At 40.2% G+C, this 16365-nt stretch overlaps 1 protein-coding gene across 3 annotated transcripts in view; it reads left to right on the forward strand.

Annotated features, from left to right (window-relative positions):
* CAPZA1 (capping actin protein of muscle Z-line subunit alpha 1) overlaps positions 1 to 13543 on the forward strand; it is a 51785-nt gene extending 38242 nt beyond the window's left edge. Inside the window, exons 6-10 of one of the 3 annotated variants that reach the window (XM_017002424.3) lie at positions 949 to 1028; positions 1628 to 1706; positions 9001 to 9072; positions 11470 to 11532; positions 11823 to 13543. In XM_017002424.3, coding sequence (XP_016857913.1) covers positions 949 to 1028; positions 1628 to 1706; positions 9001 to 9072; positions 11470 to 11532; positions 11823 to 12059 — 531 coding nt within the window. In that variant the 3' untranslated portion in view covers positions 12060 to 13543. Of the gene's footprint in view, positions 1 to 948; positions 1029 to 1627; positions 1707 to 3132; positions 3180 to 9000; positions 9073 to 11469; positions 11533 to 11822 lie in introns of those variants that run through there. The other 2 variants (NM_006135.3, XM_011542225.4) reach the window with 2 other exon arrangements.
* Positions 13544 to 16365: the final 2822 nt, after the last annotated feature.

A 16365-nucleotide genomic window follows, 5' to 3' on the forward strand; every position in this document is an offset into this window, starting at 1 on the left:
GTGAACTTCAACTTCTTATCTGTAGATAACACTGTATTTCATCAGATTTATTAGAGGAAAAAGAAAATACATGTAAGAACATATTTTGTGGACTATAAAGCGCTATTTTTTTTTTCTTACTTTCCCTTGGTGATTGCATTTCCATTCACCTCTCCCACACTAAAGAAGAGTTAGTGTTTCTAACTACTAACTAGACATCTCCATCTGTAATTTCCAGTTTGTTAATGACACCACCATCTTTTTAGTCACTCTTGAGTTCCTTCTTTCCTTTGCCCATCATTTGCAATATACTGCTAGACTTTGATTGTACTTCTACATTCTGTGTGCAACTCTTCCTTTCCATTCCCATTAATATAACTCTGACTTGTTGCCTAGATTAATCCTGTGGCCTCCTAACCAAGCTTCAGCTTTTCTTCGTTTTATCTTGAATACCAGTATTGATTATTCTCCCACAATATTAGTTCTAGTCATGTTTTGCTGTCTCTCCATTGCCTATAGAATAAAATCTTAAACTTCTTACTTTACATCTACTATTACATGACCTAAATCTACCATCCTGTTTTGTCTTTCATTAGTCCACTTCACACACACCCTTTAAACCTGACAGTCTTGTTCACTGAACAAGTCCTTAGTTTCCTGTCTTGCCTTTATTTTCAGTCTCTGCTTATCAGAATCTCATCTGTCTTGTATGACCCAGCCTAAATGGCACCCGCCTTGTACCCCAAACCAAGAGCAGTATTTCCCTCTGTTTTCATTGTATCACTGTCTCTGGTAGAACCTAACATGTTCTGCTTTGTTTTCATATCCCATGTGCACTATTGTGTTCTAAGCTCATTTTATGTGATTCTTTGTCTCCCCCAAGGATTTAACACTCTGCTTTTGTACAATGCATGTTGTTTAAATTAAAAGTGTTTGGAGTCTTTAACTATTTTTTTTTCCCAACAATAGGTTTATGCTAAAACTATCGATGGGCAACAGACTATTATTGCATGTATTGAAAGCCACCAGTTTCAGCCTAAAAACTTCTGGTAAGAAGTAGATATTCTCTTCTATTTACATCTGAAAGAAACCAGCAGTTGAGACTTGGTTTTTAATCCAACTAGCTTGGAATAATTATTTAACTTACAGACTTCAGTTTTCCATCTATAAATGAGGGATTTAGATTCCTTACAGTTCTAAGGTTTTATAATTATATTTTCCTTTAAAAGTTACTCTTATTTTGAGTGAGAACAAGTGATTAGTAAAGTGCCCTGTTGAAAATCTGAGTTTTACTTGGCTTAGGGTTACTGCTACTTGAGTTAATTGTGTAACTCAGCAGCCTATTCATCTGATTTTGGAAGAGCCTCCCATGAGCAGAATAGGCATGGTTTTCCATTTCAAGGGAAAAAAGGAAAAATGAAAGACAAAATAACTTAGAAAAGGCTTATGGTCAGGCCACTTAGATCCAGACTTACATTTGAGTAGACAGAGCTTTGGGTTTGCCAAACTGGAAATGACAGTTTCTCTCTCTCTCTTTTTTTTTTTCTTTTTTTGCACCCCTCTTTCCCAACTTCTGTACCTCAGTGGCAAATCACCTCTTTCTTGTGCTTATTGCTAATTCTGCAATGTTGTGTGTGTGTTTTAATAGGAATGGTCGTTGGAGATCAGAGTGGAAGTTCACCATCACACCACCTACAGCCCAGGTGGTTGGCGTGCTTAAGATTCAGGTGAGATTCCAACATGTTTATAGACTTAAAACTTCACATCTTTAAAACATGTGCAGGTTGCTTTGGTATTAAATAAGGACCAAGTATGTGTAGATGCAAAGGGAGACTGATGGCAGTGAATAGAAATAGAAGCCTCCTTCTTGGGGTGGTAAACAGAGAGAGCTATTCTGAGTTGATAAAGGATAGCATGTAGAGTGTATGGCAACATGGTTATTGTTATTTTTCCTTCAATGGTAACATAAGATATAACTAGGAATTATCAAACAGCAGTTTTAGGAAAGATTTAAAATTAATAATAATAATAATTATTATTTTTTGGGACAGAGTTTCACTCCATCACCCAGACTGGAGTGCAGTGACGTGATCTCAGCTAACTGCAACCTCCACCTCCCAGCCCAGGCTGGGTTAATTCCTAAAAATTATAACTAGAGAGAATGGCAGGTGTTTTGGAATATAAATAGCCAAGCAGAAGTAGATTGATTGATTGATTGATTGATTGACTGATTGATTGATTTTTGAGATGGAGTTTTGCTCTTATTGCCCAGGCTGGAGGTGCAATGGCATGATCTCGGCTCTTCGCAATCTCTGGCTCCTGGGTTCAGGTGATTCTCCTGCCTCGGCCTCCCGAGTAGCTGGGATTACAGGCATGCGCCATCACGCCTAGCTAATTTTCTATTTTTAGTACAGGCGGGGTTTCTCCATGTTGGTTAGGCTGGTCTCGATCTCCTGACCTCAGGTGATCCACCCGCCTCGGCCTCCCAAAATGCTGGGATTACAGGCGTGAGCCACTGCACCTGGCCCAGAAGTAGATTTTTAATGCTGATGTCAGGGTAGACAGGCAGCTGAATAAGATAGCTGTTAACTCATTTGATGCCTGTCTGGATTGAAGTTTAATATCCTAGCAGAGGTTTGACTTTCTAAACTCAGGGTGATTTAATATTTAAGCCTCACTAACTGTAAGGTCAGAATAGGTACAGGTAACCGAGAAGATCAGTACCTAATCGTACCTGTATTATATTATGTGAAGCTGTGCTTTAACAACAATTACCAAGAGTTGTCTTTTTTTTTTTTTTTTTTTTTTTTTGAGAAGGAGGAGAAGGAGGAGTCTCGCTCTGTCGCCCAGCCTGGAGTGCAGTGGTGCAATCTTGGCTCACTGCAACCTCTGCCTCCTGAGTTCAAGCAATTCTCTTGCCTCAGCCTCCCAAGTAGCTGGGATTACAGGCACACACCACCACGCCCAGCTAATTTTTGTATTTTTAGTAGAGGTGGGATTTCACTATGTTGGCCAGGCTGGTCTTGAACTCCTGACCTCAGGTGAGCCACTGTGCCCAGCCAAGAGTTGTCTTTTTTAATGCTCTAATTTAATCAAGTGCATAGGTAATAAATTCTGTAAAAGTAAATCTGCTCTTTTTATATATACCTATAGCTTCCTGCAACAAGTAGCTCCTGGCCATAGGAGCATGCCCAACTCAGGTGAGACAGGCTGGTGTTGAGTTCACAGCTCTAGGAGGAGCCCTCAGTGATATGTAAGAGTTGGTAGATAAATATGGCAGCTTCCTCAAGTAGGACAACTTTCAAGCACATTCTGTTTAGTCTTCCGGAGCCCAATACCCACAGCTGTAACCTGCTCATAAACGTACCTCTAAGGCTTCCTTCCCTTCTGTGTCCCACTTCTTCTGTCCCCTACTGTAGCTTTGTGAGATTCGCTCCTGAATAAACTACTTTTTCTCTAATCTTTGTCTTGGGGTCTCCTTCTGGGAAGGTGCAACCTAAGACAGCATACTGTTCTGTTTCTGTTAACAAAATATCTTAGTAGCCTAGCGCTCTAGATCTCTTGTAACTGTGGCATTAGCATTAACTTCCTAGAACCATGGTATCAGCATTGTAGAAGCTTATTGTAAATTTTGTGTAAATAAATTTTACTTTGTTTCTAGATGGAAACAGCCATTTGTATTTTAGCTCTGCCAGTGCAAACCTATAAAATAAGAGCACACATCACAAAGGGTGATAATTTATGGTAAGATTCAAAATACAGCCCAGTGTACAGACCCACATTTAAACCTTTTTAAGCACAGATTGAGCACACTTTTGGGGAAAGCTTATTTCATTTACATATCTTTTAAATTTTGGAGTGAGAATTATTTGGAAAAGTCGTTAAGATATTTAGCCTTTCAGGCTAGTCTATAGGCAAAAACATCGTTCTGAGAAGGCAACAATTTCTGAGGATTTATGTTGATGACAATCATGTTGAAATTTGTGTTAGTTAATTGAACCATTTTCATATTAGCAGATGAGACCTAGAAAAGGTCTTAGAACACATAAGTTTTGAGCTTAATTTCTTTCTTGAAACGGTGTATCTCAACTCTGTCACCTAGGCTGGAGTGCAGTGGTGCTTTCATAGCTCACTGCAACCTCAAACTCCTCAACTAAATGATCCTCCCACCTCATCCTCCCAAGCACCTAGTGCTACAAGCACATACCACTGTACCTGGCCAACTTTTTTTATTTTTTTGTAGAGTCGGGGTCTCACTATATTGCCCAGGCTGGGTTAATTTCTAAAAATTATAATAACATTAGTGTATTAGGTAATGAAATTAATATTTTTTAGAATTTTTCTTTTTTTTTTTTTTTTTTTTTGAGACAGAGTCTCGCTCTGTTGCCCAGGATGGAGTGCAGTGGCAGGATCTCGGCTCACTGCAAGCTCCACCTCCCGGGTTCATGCCATTCTCCTGCCTCAGCCTCCTGAGTAGCTGGTACCACAGGCGCCCGCCACCATACCTGGCTAATTTTTTGTATTTTTAGTAGAGACAGGGTTTCACTGTGTTAGCCAGGCTGGTCTCGAACTCCTGACCTTGTGATCCGCCTCCCTCAGCTTCCCAAAATGCTGGGATTACAGGCGTGAGCCACTGCGCCTGGCCCTAGAATTTTTCATTGAGATCAAAAACAGTGAGGCTTATTGACCTTACCCTATATTCCTTTCCATGTCCTAATTAAAAAACATAACAGAAGTTCAAACTAATTGTATAGTCTTTATTCTCGAACAAAAAGAATGTGCTCTGCATACCTCCTCTCTTTAGACAAGTTCTGAGAAATACAGAAGTTCTTGTTTCTTCTATGGCCAGATCTGTTGTTGTTTTTTTAAATATCTCCCATCCTGTTTGTAATAATTCCCCCCTGCCCCCTTTTTGTTTTGTTTTGTTTTTTGAGATGGAGTCTTGCTCTGTCGCCAGGCTGGAGTGCAGTGACACGACCTTGGCTCATTGCAACGTCCGCCTCCTGGGTTCAAGCGATTCTCCTGCCTCAGTCTCCCAAGTAGCTGGGCGTACAGGCGCATGCCACCACGCCCAGCTAATTTTTTGTATTTTTAGCAGACACCGGGTTTCACTGTGTTAGCCAGGATGATCTTGATCTCCTGACCTCGTGATGCGCCTACCTTGGCCTCCCAAAGTGCTGGGATTACAGGCGTGAGCCACTGCACCCGGCTCATTCCCCTTTTGAATGTTCTTTTCAGTCCCTGAACCTCTAGTTTTTTTAATGAAAAAACAAACAAAACTGATATTTGATTGTGACCTACTTGTATTTTAAATATTCTTATCTATTGGGATTTTAACCTTTATATGTCATCATCATTTAGCCCAGTCTTTTTTGCCCACATCTTTGCTGTTCTGATTTTACATGTAAGTATTAGTGGTTCTTATTATCACCCTTCTTTTCCATTGGATTCTCATCTTGTCTCCAGTGGATTCCAGTCTCTCTCTGTCACCCAGGCTGGAGTGCAGTGGTGCAATCTCAGTTCACTGCAGCCTCTGCCTCCTGGCTTCAAGTGATTCTCCTGTCTCAGCCTCCCAAGTAGCTGGGATTACAGGCACCTGCCACCATGCCTGCCTAATTTTTTTTGTATTTTTAGTAGAGACAGGGTTTCACCATGTTGGTCAGGCTGGTCTCGAACTCCTGACCTCAAGTGATCTGCCCACCTCGGCCTCCCAAAGTGCTGGGATTAAATGTGTGAGCCACCATGCCTGTTCTCAGTAGATTCTTATATTGTCTTTTCTTCTTTAACCTCTTAGAAAGCCAAAAGGTAAAATTTCAGGGTTTAGAGAGGGTATGGAAAGTCTAGCTTCTCATGCCCATCTGGATAGAGCCAGCTGTTTGTCCTCATTCAAGAAGATACTTGCCGGGCACGGTGGCTCACGCCTGTAATCCCAGCACTTTGGGAAGCCAAAGCAGGGGGATCATGAGGTCAAGAGATCGAGACCAGCCTGGGCAACACAGTGAAACCCCATCTCTGTTAAAAATACAAAAATTAGCTGGCCATGGTGGCACGCACCTGTAGTCCCAGCTACGTGGGAGGCTGAGGCAGGAGAATTGCTTGAACCCAGGAGGCAGAGGTTGCAGTGAGCCGACATCAGCCACTGTGCTCCAGCTTGGGCGACAGAGCGTGACACTGTCTCAAAAAAAAAAAAAAAAAAAGATACTTATTTTTGTCCTTTAAACAAGGATAGGTAGGGGGTTCTTGTTATCCAGGAAAGTCTTTTTGTTGCAAATAGCTTTCTGCCTAGATGAAGCTTGACTGTTAGTTATGCCCTTCTAATGATATCCACAAAGAGTAAGCCCCTGCTGAGACACTATTTCTCCCCAGATCAAGGAATTTCTAACTTTTTGACAAAACATAGCATTGGGAGGTATTACATATGTTGGATAGCTCTGGAATTTGACCTAATTCAAATCCTAGCTCCTCCTCTTACTAGGTGTGTGAACATGGATAAGTTATTGTTTAATAACTGCCTCAAGGCAAACTTCAGTTTCCTCAGCTGTAAAATAGGGTTAGTCGTAGTCCTCATCTCATAAGAGTTTTTGTAAAGATTAAATGTGGTGGCCTAGCGCAGTGGCTCATGACTGTAATCCCAGTACTTTTGGGAGACCGAGGTGGGTGGATCACAAGGTCAGGAGTTCGAGACCAGCCTGGCCAACATGGTGAAACCTCGTCTCTACTAAAAATACAAAAGTTAGCCGGGCGTGGTTGCGGGTGCCTGTAATCCCAGCTACTTGGGAGTCTGAGGCAGGAGAATCACTTAAAGCGGGGAATCGGAGGTTGCAGTGAGCCGAGATCGTGCCATTGCACTCCAGCCTGGGCGACAAGAACAAGACTCTGTCTCAAAAAAAAGGATTAAATGAGGGAATATAAGTAATAGTGAAGTGTTTGCACAGTGTCTAACACATAGTAAAGGCTTAATAAATAATAGCTCCTACAGCTAAGATTACTGAGTAAGTGAGATGAAGTAAGTGAAGATTACTGTTCTTCTCTTTTCCTTTTCTGCTTTATCCCTCAAAACATTCTGTTTTGTTCACATATCTCCTGGTAGCATAGACTAGATGTCTTTGTTTGGGGTTTTTTTGTGTTTTTTTTTTTTTTTTGAGACAGAGTCTTACTCTGTCACCCAGGCTGGAATGCAGTGGCATGATCTTGGCTCACTGCAACCTCCGCCTCCTGGGTTCAAGCAATTCTCCTGCCTCAGCCTCCCAAGTAGCTGGGATTACAGATGCCTGCCACTACACCTGGCTAATTTTTTTTGTATTTTTAGTAGAGATGGGGTTTCGCCGTGTTGGCCAGGCTGGTTTCGAACTCCTGACCTCAAGTGATCCGCCCGCCTTGGCCTCCCAAAGTGCTAGGATTACAGGCATAAACCACCGCGCCCGGCCTTGTTTCAGCTATTATAACACAATACCTTAGACTGGTATACCTTAGCAGAAATACCTTAGCAGAAATTTATTCCTCATACTTCTGGAGACTAAGAAGTCCAAGATCAAGGTGCTGTTAGATTCAGTGACTGGTGAGTTCTGTTTCTCATAGGTGACACCTTCTGCATTCTCACGTGACAGAAGGGGTGAACACTGTCCTCATGAGGTAGAAGAGTGGCAAGAGAGCTTGATTGAGCCTCTTTTAGAACGGCACTAATCCCTTGAAGGCTTCATCCTCATGACCTAATCACCTCCCAAAGGCCCCTCCTCTTAATATTATCCCATTGCATATTGGTCCAACATAAGAATTTTGGGAAGGTACCAACATTAAAATCATAGCACTAGATAAATGGCATTACCTGGACTATTGTTCTGGCATTATGTCTCCAATAGCAGCTCCTTCGTTTTATTTTCTTCATAGCACAAGTATAATCTTTCTAAAACATTCCTTTTCCCGTGTGTCACCTATAATAGGATAACATCTGCATTCTTTTTTTTCCCTAAGATGGGGATCTTGCTATATTGCCCAGGCTGGTCTTAAACTTCTGGCCTCAAGTGATCCTCCCGTCTTAGCCTCCTGAGTAGTCTGAATTCTTAACATGGTTTATAAGGTGCTTTGTTCTTCACAGTCTGTGTTTCCACTTCATAGCAATGTCTCCTGCCACACTCCTTTTTTACACATATTCATATGCAGTGAGTTCTTTGTTCTTCTCCAAATTAAACCAGTTATACTCCATTCTGTTATACTTTTTTATCTCCTTGGTGTAGATGTCATTCTCTACCTGTCTACTTAGGTGACAACTACTGTTTTCAAGATCCTATTCAAATGCACAAAAGGATACCCTCATCCTATTGTGTATGACCAATTAGTAGCCTTGTCAAGGTGACTAAACCTATCTTAAGTTGCCAAAACTTAACCTAAAATGTCATTGACTTGTTAGTCTCTTCTCCTTTTTGCTAATTGTTTGCATAATTGTAGCACTTCACTTTACCTTACATATTCAGAACTACTTTTATCTTACTTTTTAAAAATATCTGATTTACCAATAAAATATTTGTTTTTCTGTCCTGTCTTTAACCCTCAATGTGACTTTTCCTGTACCTGGTCAGTTCTGCTTACCAACATTGATGATAATGTATATGGAGAAATGTGCCAAATATTAGGTATGAGGATCCATTAAAATTCCTTGGTTTTCACAGAGAAAAACTAATGTTTAATAACTTTAATTATTTTAATATTGTTAAGAGTGGGATCTCATTTACCTTTGTATTCACAATGCCTAGCACAGTGCTTAGAATGTGAAAAGCATGTAATAAATGTTTCTTGAACTTAATAATCAGTTTTCCTTGCTAAGGAAAAAGCGTTCTTAAACTTAAGTGTTCTGTGGATTAATTAACCACCATTGTGAATTACCACTGCTTATATTAATTATTTGTTCAGAGTTGGTAAAATGGCTCATCAACTTAAAGATAGCTTAAAGCATGGATTTGTGTCCTAAATAACAGGTTTCTCTATGAACTTCCCCTAAAAAGGCTCAAACATTGTCTCACACAGGTTCACTATTATGAAGATGGCAATGTTCAGTTGGTTAGTCATAAAGATGTACAGGATTCACTAACTGTTTCGGTGAGTATGGAATATTTAGTGTCTGTCTTACTCATGTCTCGTTTTTCTTTAAAAAATTAGTTTTGATCCTGAGTGCTGATTCTGCCAGTAGAAATTCAGTTTGCTTTTAATGTTTTGATTTTGGCCACTTCTGTTAGTGCCTCTTATCACCAACCAGCATATATTAGTTCACAGTTTTTGACTCACAATATTGATTATGACTTTAGACAAATGTCCTTCTTAGTCGCTCTCTCAATTGTAATAGTTACTCAAGGACAGCAATACCTTCATTCAATAAATACCAAGAGCAAGGAAAGTTTACCAAACTGCATCCTATAGGGCTGCATTTATATCATTAGAGAAACAACATTTTTAGGAGTATTCAATTAGAATGTTTTGTGGTTTGGTGGTGGTGGTCTATTTGAGACAGGAATTCACTCTGTTGCCTAGGCTGGAGTGCAAGGAAGGACATGATCACAGCTCACTGCAGCCTTGAGCTCCCAGGCTCAAGCGATCCTCCCACCTCAGCCTCCCAAGTAGCTGGGACCACAGGTGCATGCCACCATGCCCAGCTAATTTTTTTATTTTTGGTAGAGATGAGGTTTCTATGTTGCTGAGGCTGGTCTCAAACTCCTAGACTGAAGTGATCCCCCTGCCTCAGCCTCCCAAAGTACTGGGATTACAGGTGTGAGCCACCATGCCTGGCCACTATTGTGTTCTATACCTTGAAAGAAGAGACATGATTTGTTCTTGCATTTCTTTGATAGTCTCATTACTTCTTTAAGTTATTAGAAGTTATTGAGTACCCCCAAAGAGTTTTTGTTTATGTGTTAGATCTATCAATGTTTACCTCACTAAAAATTAAAGCTGAGAAGTGTGGGCCGGGAGTGGTGGCTCACACCTGTAATCCCAGCACTTTGGGAGGTCGAGGCAGGTGAAAGCTTGAGCTCAGGAGTTCAAGACCAGCCTGAGCAACACGGTGAAACCCTGTCTCTACAAAAAAAATATAAAAATCAGCTGAGTTCCTGTAGTCCCAGCTACTTGGGAGGCTGTGGTGGGAGGATCACCTCAGCCCAGGAAGGTTGAGGCTGCAGTGAGCCAAGATCGTGCCACTGCACTTCAGCCTGGGTGACAGAATGAAACCCTGTCTCAAAAAGAAAGAAAGAAAGAAAACTAAGAAGTGTTAAAACTATTCGTTAATTAAAAATAATGATAACAAACCCATTACTTGTTAATAAGTAACATCTTTGTGAATATATTTTCCAAATCAAAAGAAAAAAATAGTGGGAAGAATGGCATTAGTCTGTGTCTTCACAAATTGTGTATTAAAAGATGGCGGACTTTATTGTGATATTAGTTGTTTTTTGCTTGTTTGTTTGTTTTTTTGAGATGAAGTTTCGCTCTTGTTGCCCAGGCTGGAGCACTGTCTTGGCTCACTGCAACCACCACCTCCCAGGTTCAAGTGATTCTCCTGCCTCAGGCTCCCGAGTAGCTGGGATTACAGGTGTCTGCCACCATGCCCAGCTAATTTTTGTATTTTTAGTAGAGACAGGGTTTCACCATGTTGACCAGGCTTGTCTTGAACTCCTGACCTCACCTGCCTCGGCCTCCCAAAGTGCTGGGATTACAGACATGAGCCACTGTACCTGGCCTCTGCTTCATACCTTTCATTATCCCTGAAAGTGATAAAGTCATCACACATCATGTAGTTTCTAGGAAATTACATCATACACACATTACAGAGTGAAAGTGAAACAGGCAAATAACTTTGTGTTAGTATTATTATGAAAGTAGAAAATAGTTTTGACCTCATAGTCTGTCTTAGGACTGCAGCTCTAGATATTAAATCCTACCCTCTTCCCTTTAATTCTGTTGTACTTAATGGTAACAGGAAGAGGGAGATTCATTTCATTTTAGACTTGAACCACGTGGTACAAAATGTGATTGGCTAGTTTAACATCATAAGTGGCAAATAAAGGCATATGTGAGCTTATGTATATGACTGATGTGTCCAAGGGCATTGTTCATACCATTTTAAACCAGAAATATTTTCAAGGCATCAAGGTTTCAAGACTTGATGATGTCTTTTGGGCGTACTGTGGTAGAGTGGAAACAGCATGGGTTTTTTTGGTGAAGACCTAATTTCAGATCCCATCTTTATCATTCAAAAGCTGTATAATTCTGGTCAAGTTGCTTAAGAGGATTCTGTTTTCTCATCTGCAAAATGGGGGTTATGATTATAACATAGTGTCTTCCATAGAGTTGTTGTGAGAATCAAAGGAGGGTAGTGGGCATGGGAACACTTGGAAAACTAGAAATTGTCATACAAATGTTAGTTAAGATGGACTTACTTTCAGGATCTTACTGCTTACACATTAAAAAAAAATCTGATTTTCCCCTTCTTCCTTCCTTCATTAGAATGAAGCCCAAACTGCCAAGGAGTTTATTAAAATCATAGAGAATGCAGAAAATGAGTATCAGGTAAGAAGATTTGGAGTTAATTTTCCTAGATCTACTATCTTATTATTTCGCTGTTAGCATATTTTGTTAGGCCTTGTGTCCTTTAATGTAAATATACATGCTCTTCAGTTTTACTAAATGTGGGAGACTTTGCAGACCTTCCAAGTTGGCATTCTGCTTACAGTCAGGGTTTGAGGATTGCTTGGGACTGTAGCCCTCATTTTAGAAATAATATAGGTGAACTTCTTGACCTACTTCAGAGATTGGAGAGGAGCTCATTGAAAATAATATATCCTGTCTATCCTTCACAGGGGACTCAAGCATATCCATTGACTATAGCATTACTTTTCTGTTCACAACCAGCCCCATTTCTGTTCAAGCAACTCATCTTCAATTATCTATTGCAGACAGCAATTAGTGAAAACTATCAAACAATGTCAGATACCACATTCAAGGCCTTGCGCCGGCAGCTTCCAGTTACCCGCACCAAAATCGACTGGAACAAGATACTCAGCTACAAGATTGGCAAAGAAATGCAGAATGCTTAAAGGCTGAATGTAGGATTCTTCAGTATGTGGAAAGACAAGGATTCAACGTGTGGTCATATGATAAATAAGTGATTTATAAACAAGAGTGATATTTTGCTAGGGCTTTCAAAGTTAACCGGTTTTCTAGCCTCATGGAATACTGTTGAACCTATAGCGTTGTCTTGATTCTTTTGTGTTCTCTGCCTTGTAATTTTCTGTTACTGCTATATCTACGTGTAAATCTTTTTTTCTTTTTTTTTTTTTTTTTTTGGTTAATTCTGCCACATTTAATGTTGGTGAGAGAGTGATCTATCCTAATGACATTTTACTGTTTAAAAAAGTTTCCTAGCCATGAAGCCCTGCTACTGATTTAGACAAGGTATTATGGTCATTACTTTGTACCCCTATCCTTCCAAGCACTTCTGGTACTTCAGTCGTTTTTACTGATCCACCAACACCTAAAGAGGCTATGCTACAGTCTCTAGCTAAATGGAAGACACATTCATCCTTCTCCCTCTGACTGCTTTGATCATCATTTATTGCATCTCATAACTAATTTTCTAAAGTTTGGATTGGGACTTTTCAGGTCCTTTTTGGAGGGCAAAGGAAGTGCCAGCTTCTCTGGGGAACTTGTTTTTAAATCCAAAGACTTGAACCACATTCCCTGCACATGAACATGTTTGCTTTTATCCCTTCTCTCATTGTCTCCTTCCCATCTTAGTACCATTGTAGTTATAAACATCTGCATTTTTTAGAAGCATTTTACCCATTTATTTTTTTAAACATTCAAGAACTGCTGACGTACTGTGGATGTAGAGTATAAAACTTGAAAAATGCAGATGTTGAAGGAATAATAGGTATCTTGTGCTTTAATACTTTATGGCAGGATTGTACTATAAGCAAATGAATTAAACAGCTATGTAAATCATAAAGAAAAACTAAAAATGAACCAAAGTGAAAGGATAACTTCCAGGCAGTATCTTTCTATTGTAACCTGTTATTTAAGGAAATACTAGTGATTTCTTCTAAATAGGATGTAAAACTTCTTTCAAATTACTCTTCCTCAGTCCTGCCTGCCAAGAACTCAAGTGTAACTGTGATAAAATAACCTTTCCCAGGTATATTGGCAGGTATGTGTGTAATCTCAGAATACACAGGTGACATAGATATGATATGACAACTGGTAATGGTGGATTCATTTACATTGTTTACACTTCTATGACCAGGCCTTAAGGGAAGGTCAGTTTTTTAAAAAACCAAGTAGTGTCTTCCTACCTATCTCCAGATACATGTCAAAAAAAGAAAGGTGTTTGTGCTTCCGTTTTGTTTCTGCTCAGTAATATAGTCAAGCAAGTTTGTTCCAGGTGACCCATTGAGCTGTGTATGCATTTTTGTTTATTTCAATAAAATATATTTGTATTATTTGTCCTTCATACTATCCATCCATACCACACTATCTTCTGTATCAGGTAGTCTAATAGAAATATACCTGTTTTGTTCTAAAATTGTCTGAGTCTCTCCTTTTTGATTCATCGCTTCAGCCTTGGTTCTCAAGGTAAGATATTCAGCTGTATTTGATCTTATGTTGAGAATGTTTAGGGTTTCTAAAATTGGTTTCTACCTTCAACTATTTATAGACTCTGAATATCCACAGATTTGCAAAGAACAGCTTTTTAAAGCGTGAGCAATGTCTATGGATCATACTGCTCTTCACTCAAAGACTACCCATGTTTCAAAGGGAAAAATGTAGTTGTCTTCTGTACCTGTCACTCAGAAAGCAAGGCCCAAGTACAGTTGTAGTCACTAGGCAGAAGTAGAAATGAAAGAATCCCTGCCTTAAACTTGGTAATATTTCACATTGCGTTATCTTGAAATGCTGCTTTCCTCTCCTTAGCTGGCCTAGCTACAAACTTGTGGGAGAGGCTTTTATCCTGGTTCCCAAAAGAAAACCAGAGGGAGTTTTTATGCTTCAAGTACTCCATCCAAGGCCAGTTCAAATTCCCACCTTTTTGAGGAATATTTAGCTGCATTCCATTCTATTTGTAATGCAAATAGATTGAAACATTCTTGCTTTTAATTTATTAACTCTCTCATCCTGCCCCTGCTATCCCATTGATTCCTTAGCTTAGACTTTTTTAAAAAATTCTTAACCCCTTAACTATCTAAAGGCCTTGGTTACTTGTATAGTCGGGAGGAAGTCAACCCTCCTTAACCAAGTCTGCCAGAGACACTCCCTCTCCCCCTTCCGCCCCCTTCTTAACCTCCCTTAGCAGAATATTTGCTTGAATTGTATCTATTTTATCACCACAAGCTGCTGAAATCAGCCTGTTGTACGCTATGGCAAAGATTTCCCAGCCATCTGGAAAAGGGTTTTTTGTGAGGCTTCCCTCCTATATTTTGGTTTGAAATGACACTGCTGAAGACTTTTTTCATCTGAGCCTCAGTGGTTATCCCTCTATTGCTTGCCTAGTTCCAGTGCCTGTTCTCTTTTATAGTCTAAGACTTCGGTGCTGGACTCATCTAGGTTCATGGGATGCTTGGCAAACTTGGCATATTCTCTTCAAACTCAAAGAATGATAAATATTTGAATGCCAACTTGTGAATTTACAATTTTCTATAAAACTACCAAGTAAACCAAATGCTGGTGACCATTGTCTCGTTTTTCAGCTACCTACTATGTGAAAAATCAAAGGAAGATTGGTAAATATGAACAAAGCTGGATTGTCCTGTAGTTTAAGTTGAGCTAACTTAAATTTCTTCTTTGAACAGATAGGGTATATATAAATGCACAGAGTATATATAAGCTCTCTGAGCACAGAAACAAATCTCACATCTGACGGCCAGAGGTCACTCTCCTCACCATCTTGGTTTTGGTGGGGTTTAGCCAGCTTCTTTACTGCAGCCTGTTTTATCAGCAAGGTCTTTATGACATGTATCTTGTGCTGACCTCCTGTCTTATCCTGTGACTTAGAATGCCTAACCTCCTGGGAATGCAGTCCAATAGGTCTCAGTCTCATTTTACCCAGTCCCTGTTGAAGATGGAGTTGCTCTGATTCAAAGAGCTCTGACAATAACAATTAGAACCCCATGTGAAGTAGATTTTTCTGGATGAAATTGTTTAGAGAAGTTCCATTGTAAACAAAGCCACATAGCATCACACTTTTTACCCAAGGTTTTACTATACTGCAGACTTTTGTGTACGTTTTGAGAACATCCAAGACATAAACCTGACCAGAGAAGAAGGGAGATTGTATCCAAGAATAATAGGGATTTAGATTTGCTGGTCAGAATGGAGCCAGACATTCAGTTTGAGTACGGTTGATGGTACGTTTTTGAGATGGTAAGTAACAAGGCAATTTTTAAGAGTTCACCCTCTCTATTCTTCTGGAACCTCATCAGGACATTGAGGGAGAAAAAAGGTAAAATCTTTGGCTGCTTTTCTAGTTTTTTCTTCTACTTTGCATAATAAGTTTGTAAGATGTTTTCCTCTGCCCTATTTTACCCATCCCCGTAGCTTTGGTTCCCACTGACATTGCATTTCCTGTTGCTAAAGCCTGTTATTCCTGGCTTCATTTGGTTGTTGGCCTGAGAGAAGGTACCGGGTAGCCCAGCTGGAGTATGACCTGGGTTCTGGACTTTCTTCAATTCCGTAGATTGAGTGTGTGGCCTCCTGCTGGTAGCTACTATGGAGAACAACACTAGCTTTGATTTATTTGAAAGTGATGTATTTGATTTAAAACTTTGTAGTGTAACTTAGCTTGTCCCATTCTAGTGTGTGTGTCATTTCATTCTGCGGGAAAAAAATAGATACAAAGGTTTGTTATTGTAGCCCCACCCCCTTAAATTTGTCTATACAGTCTTCTGAAGCACACTGCCCTTTTAGTTCTCTTCTTGGTACTGATGCTGTCACTATTAACCACTTATTATTGCCTAACACAACAGTCCCTTACGCTCAAGATGCTAGTATTTTGATGAATATAAGGGTCCACCTTATATACCAGTAAAAATTAAAGAGCAATACAGACTGGAATGCAACGAAGCGCCCAAATATGTGGCTCAGGGGTAAGGGTCGGTCACCAGCCTTTCCACATAAGCCGATGTGGCAGAGAAAAGCAATTACTGTGTATCCTGGCAGAGCCCCTTGTCCCTCCCTCCCACACGTACACACCTTTATCTCAGAGACACTGGGTTCTTTTCCCCAAACTTCTTTGACCCTTATGCCAACTACGTGCGTCTGAAAGCCCGAGAAGGGAAAATGGGGGAGGGGGCGTGTCGCCCCGAGTTTACGTCCCTGGAAGGCTGGGGGAGGCGCTGGATGAGCTTCCCC

The sequence above is a fragment of the Homo sapiens genome, chromosome 1 (assembly GCF_000001405.40).
Source record: "Homo sapiens chromosome 1, GRCh38.p14 Primary Assembly".
NCBI classification, from domain to species: domain Eukaryota; kingdom Metazoa; phylum Chordata; class Mammalia; order Primates; family Hominidae; genus Homo; species Homo sapiens.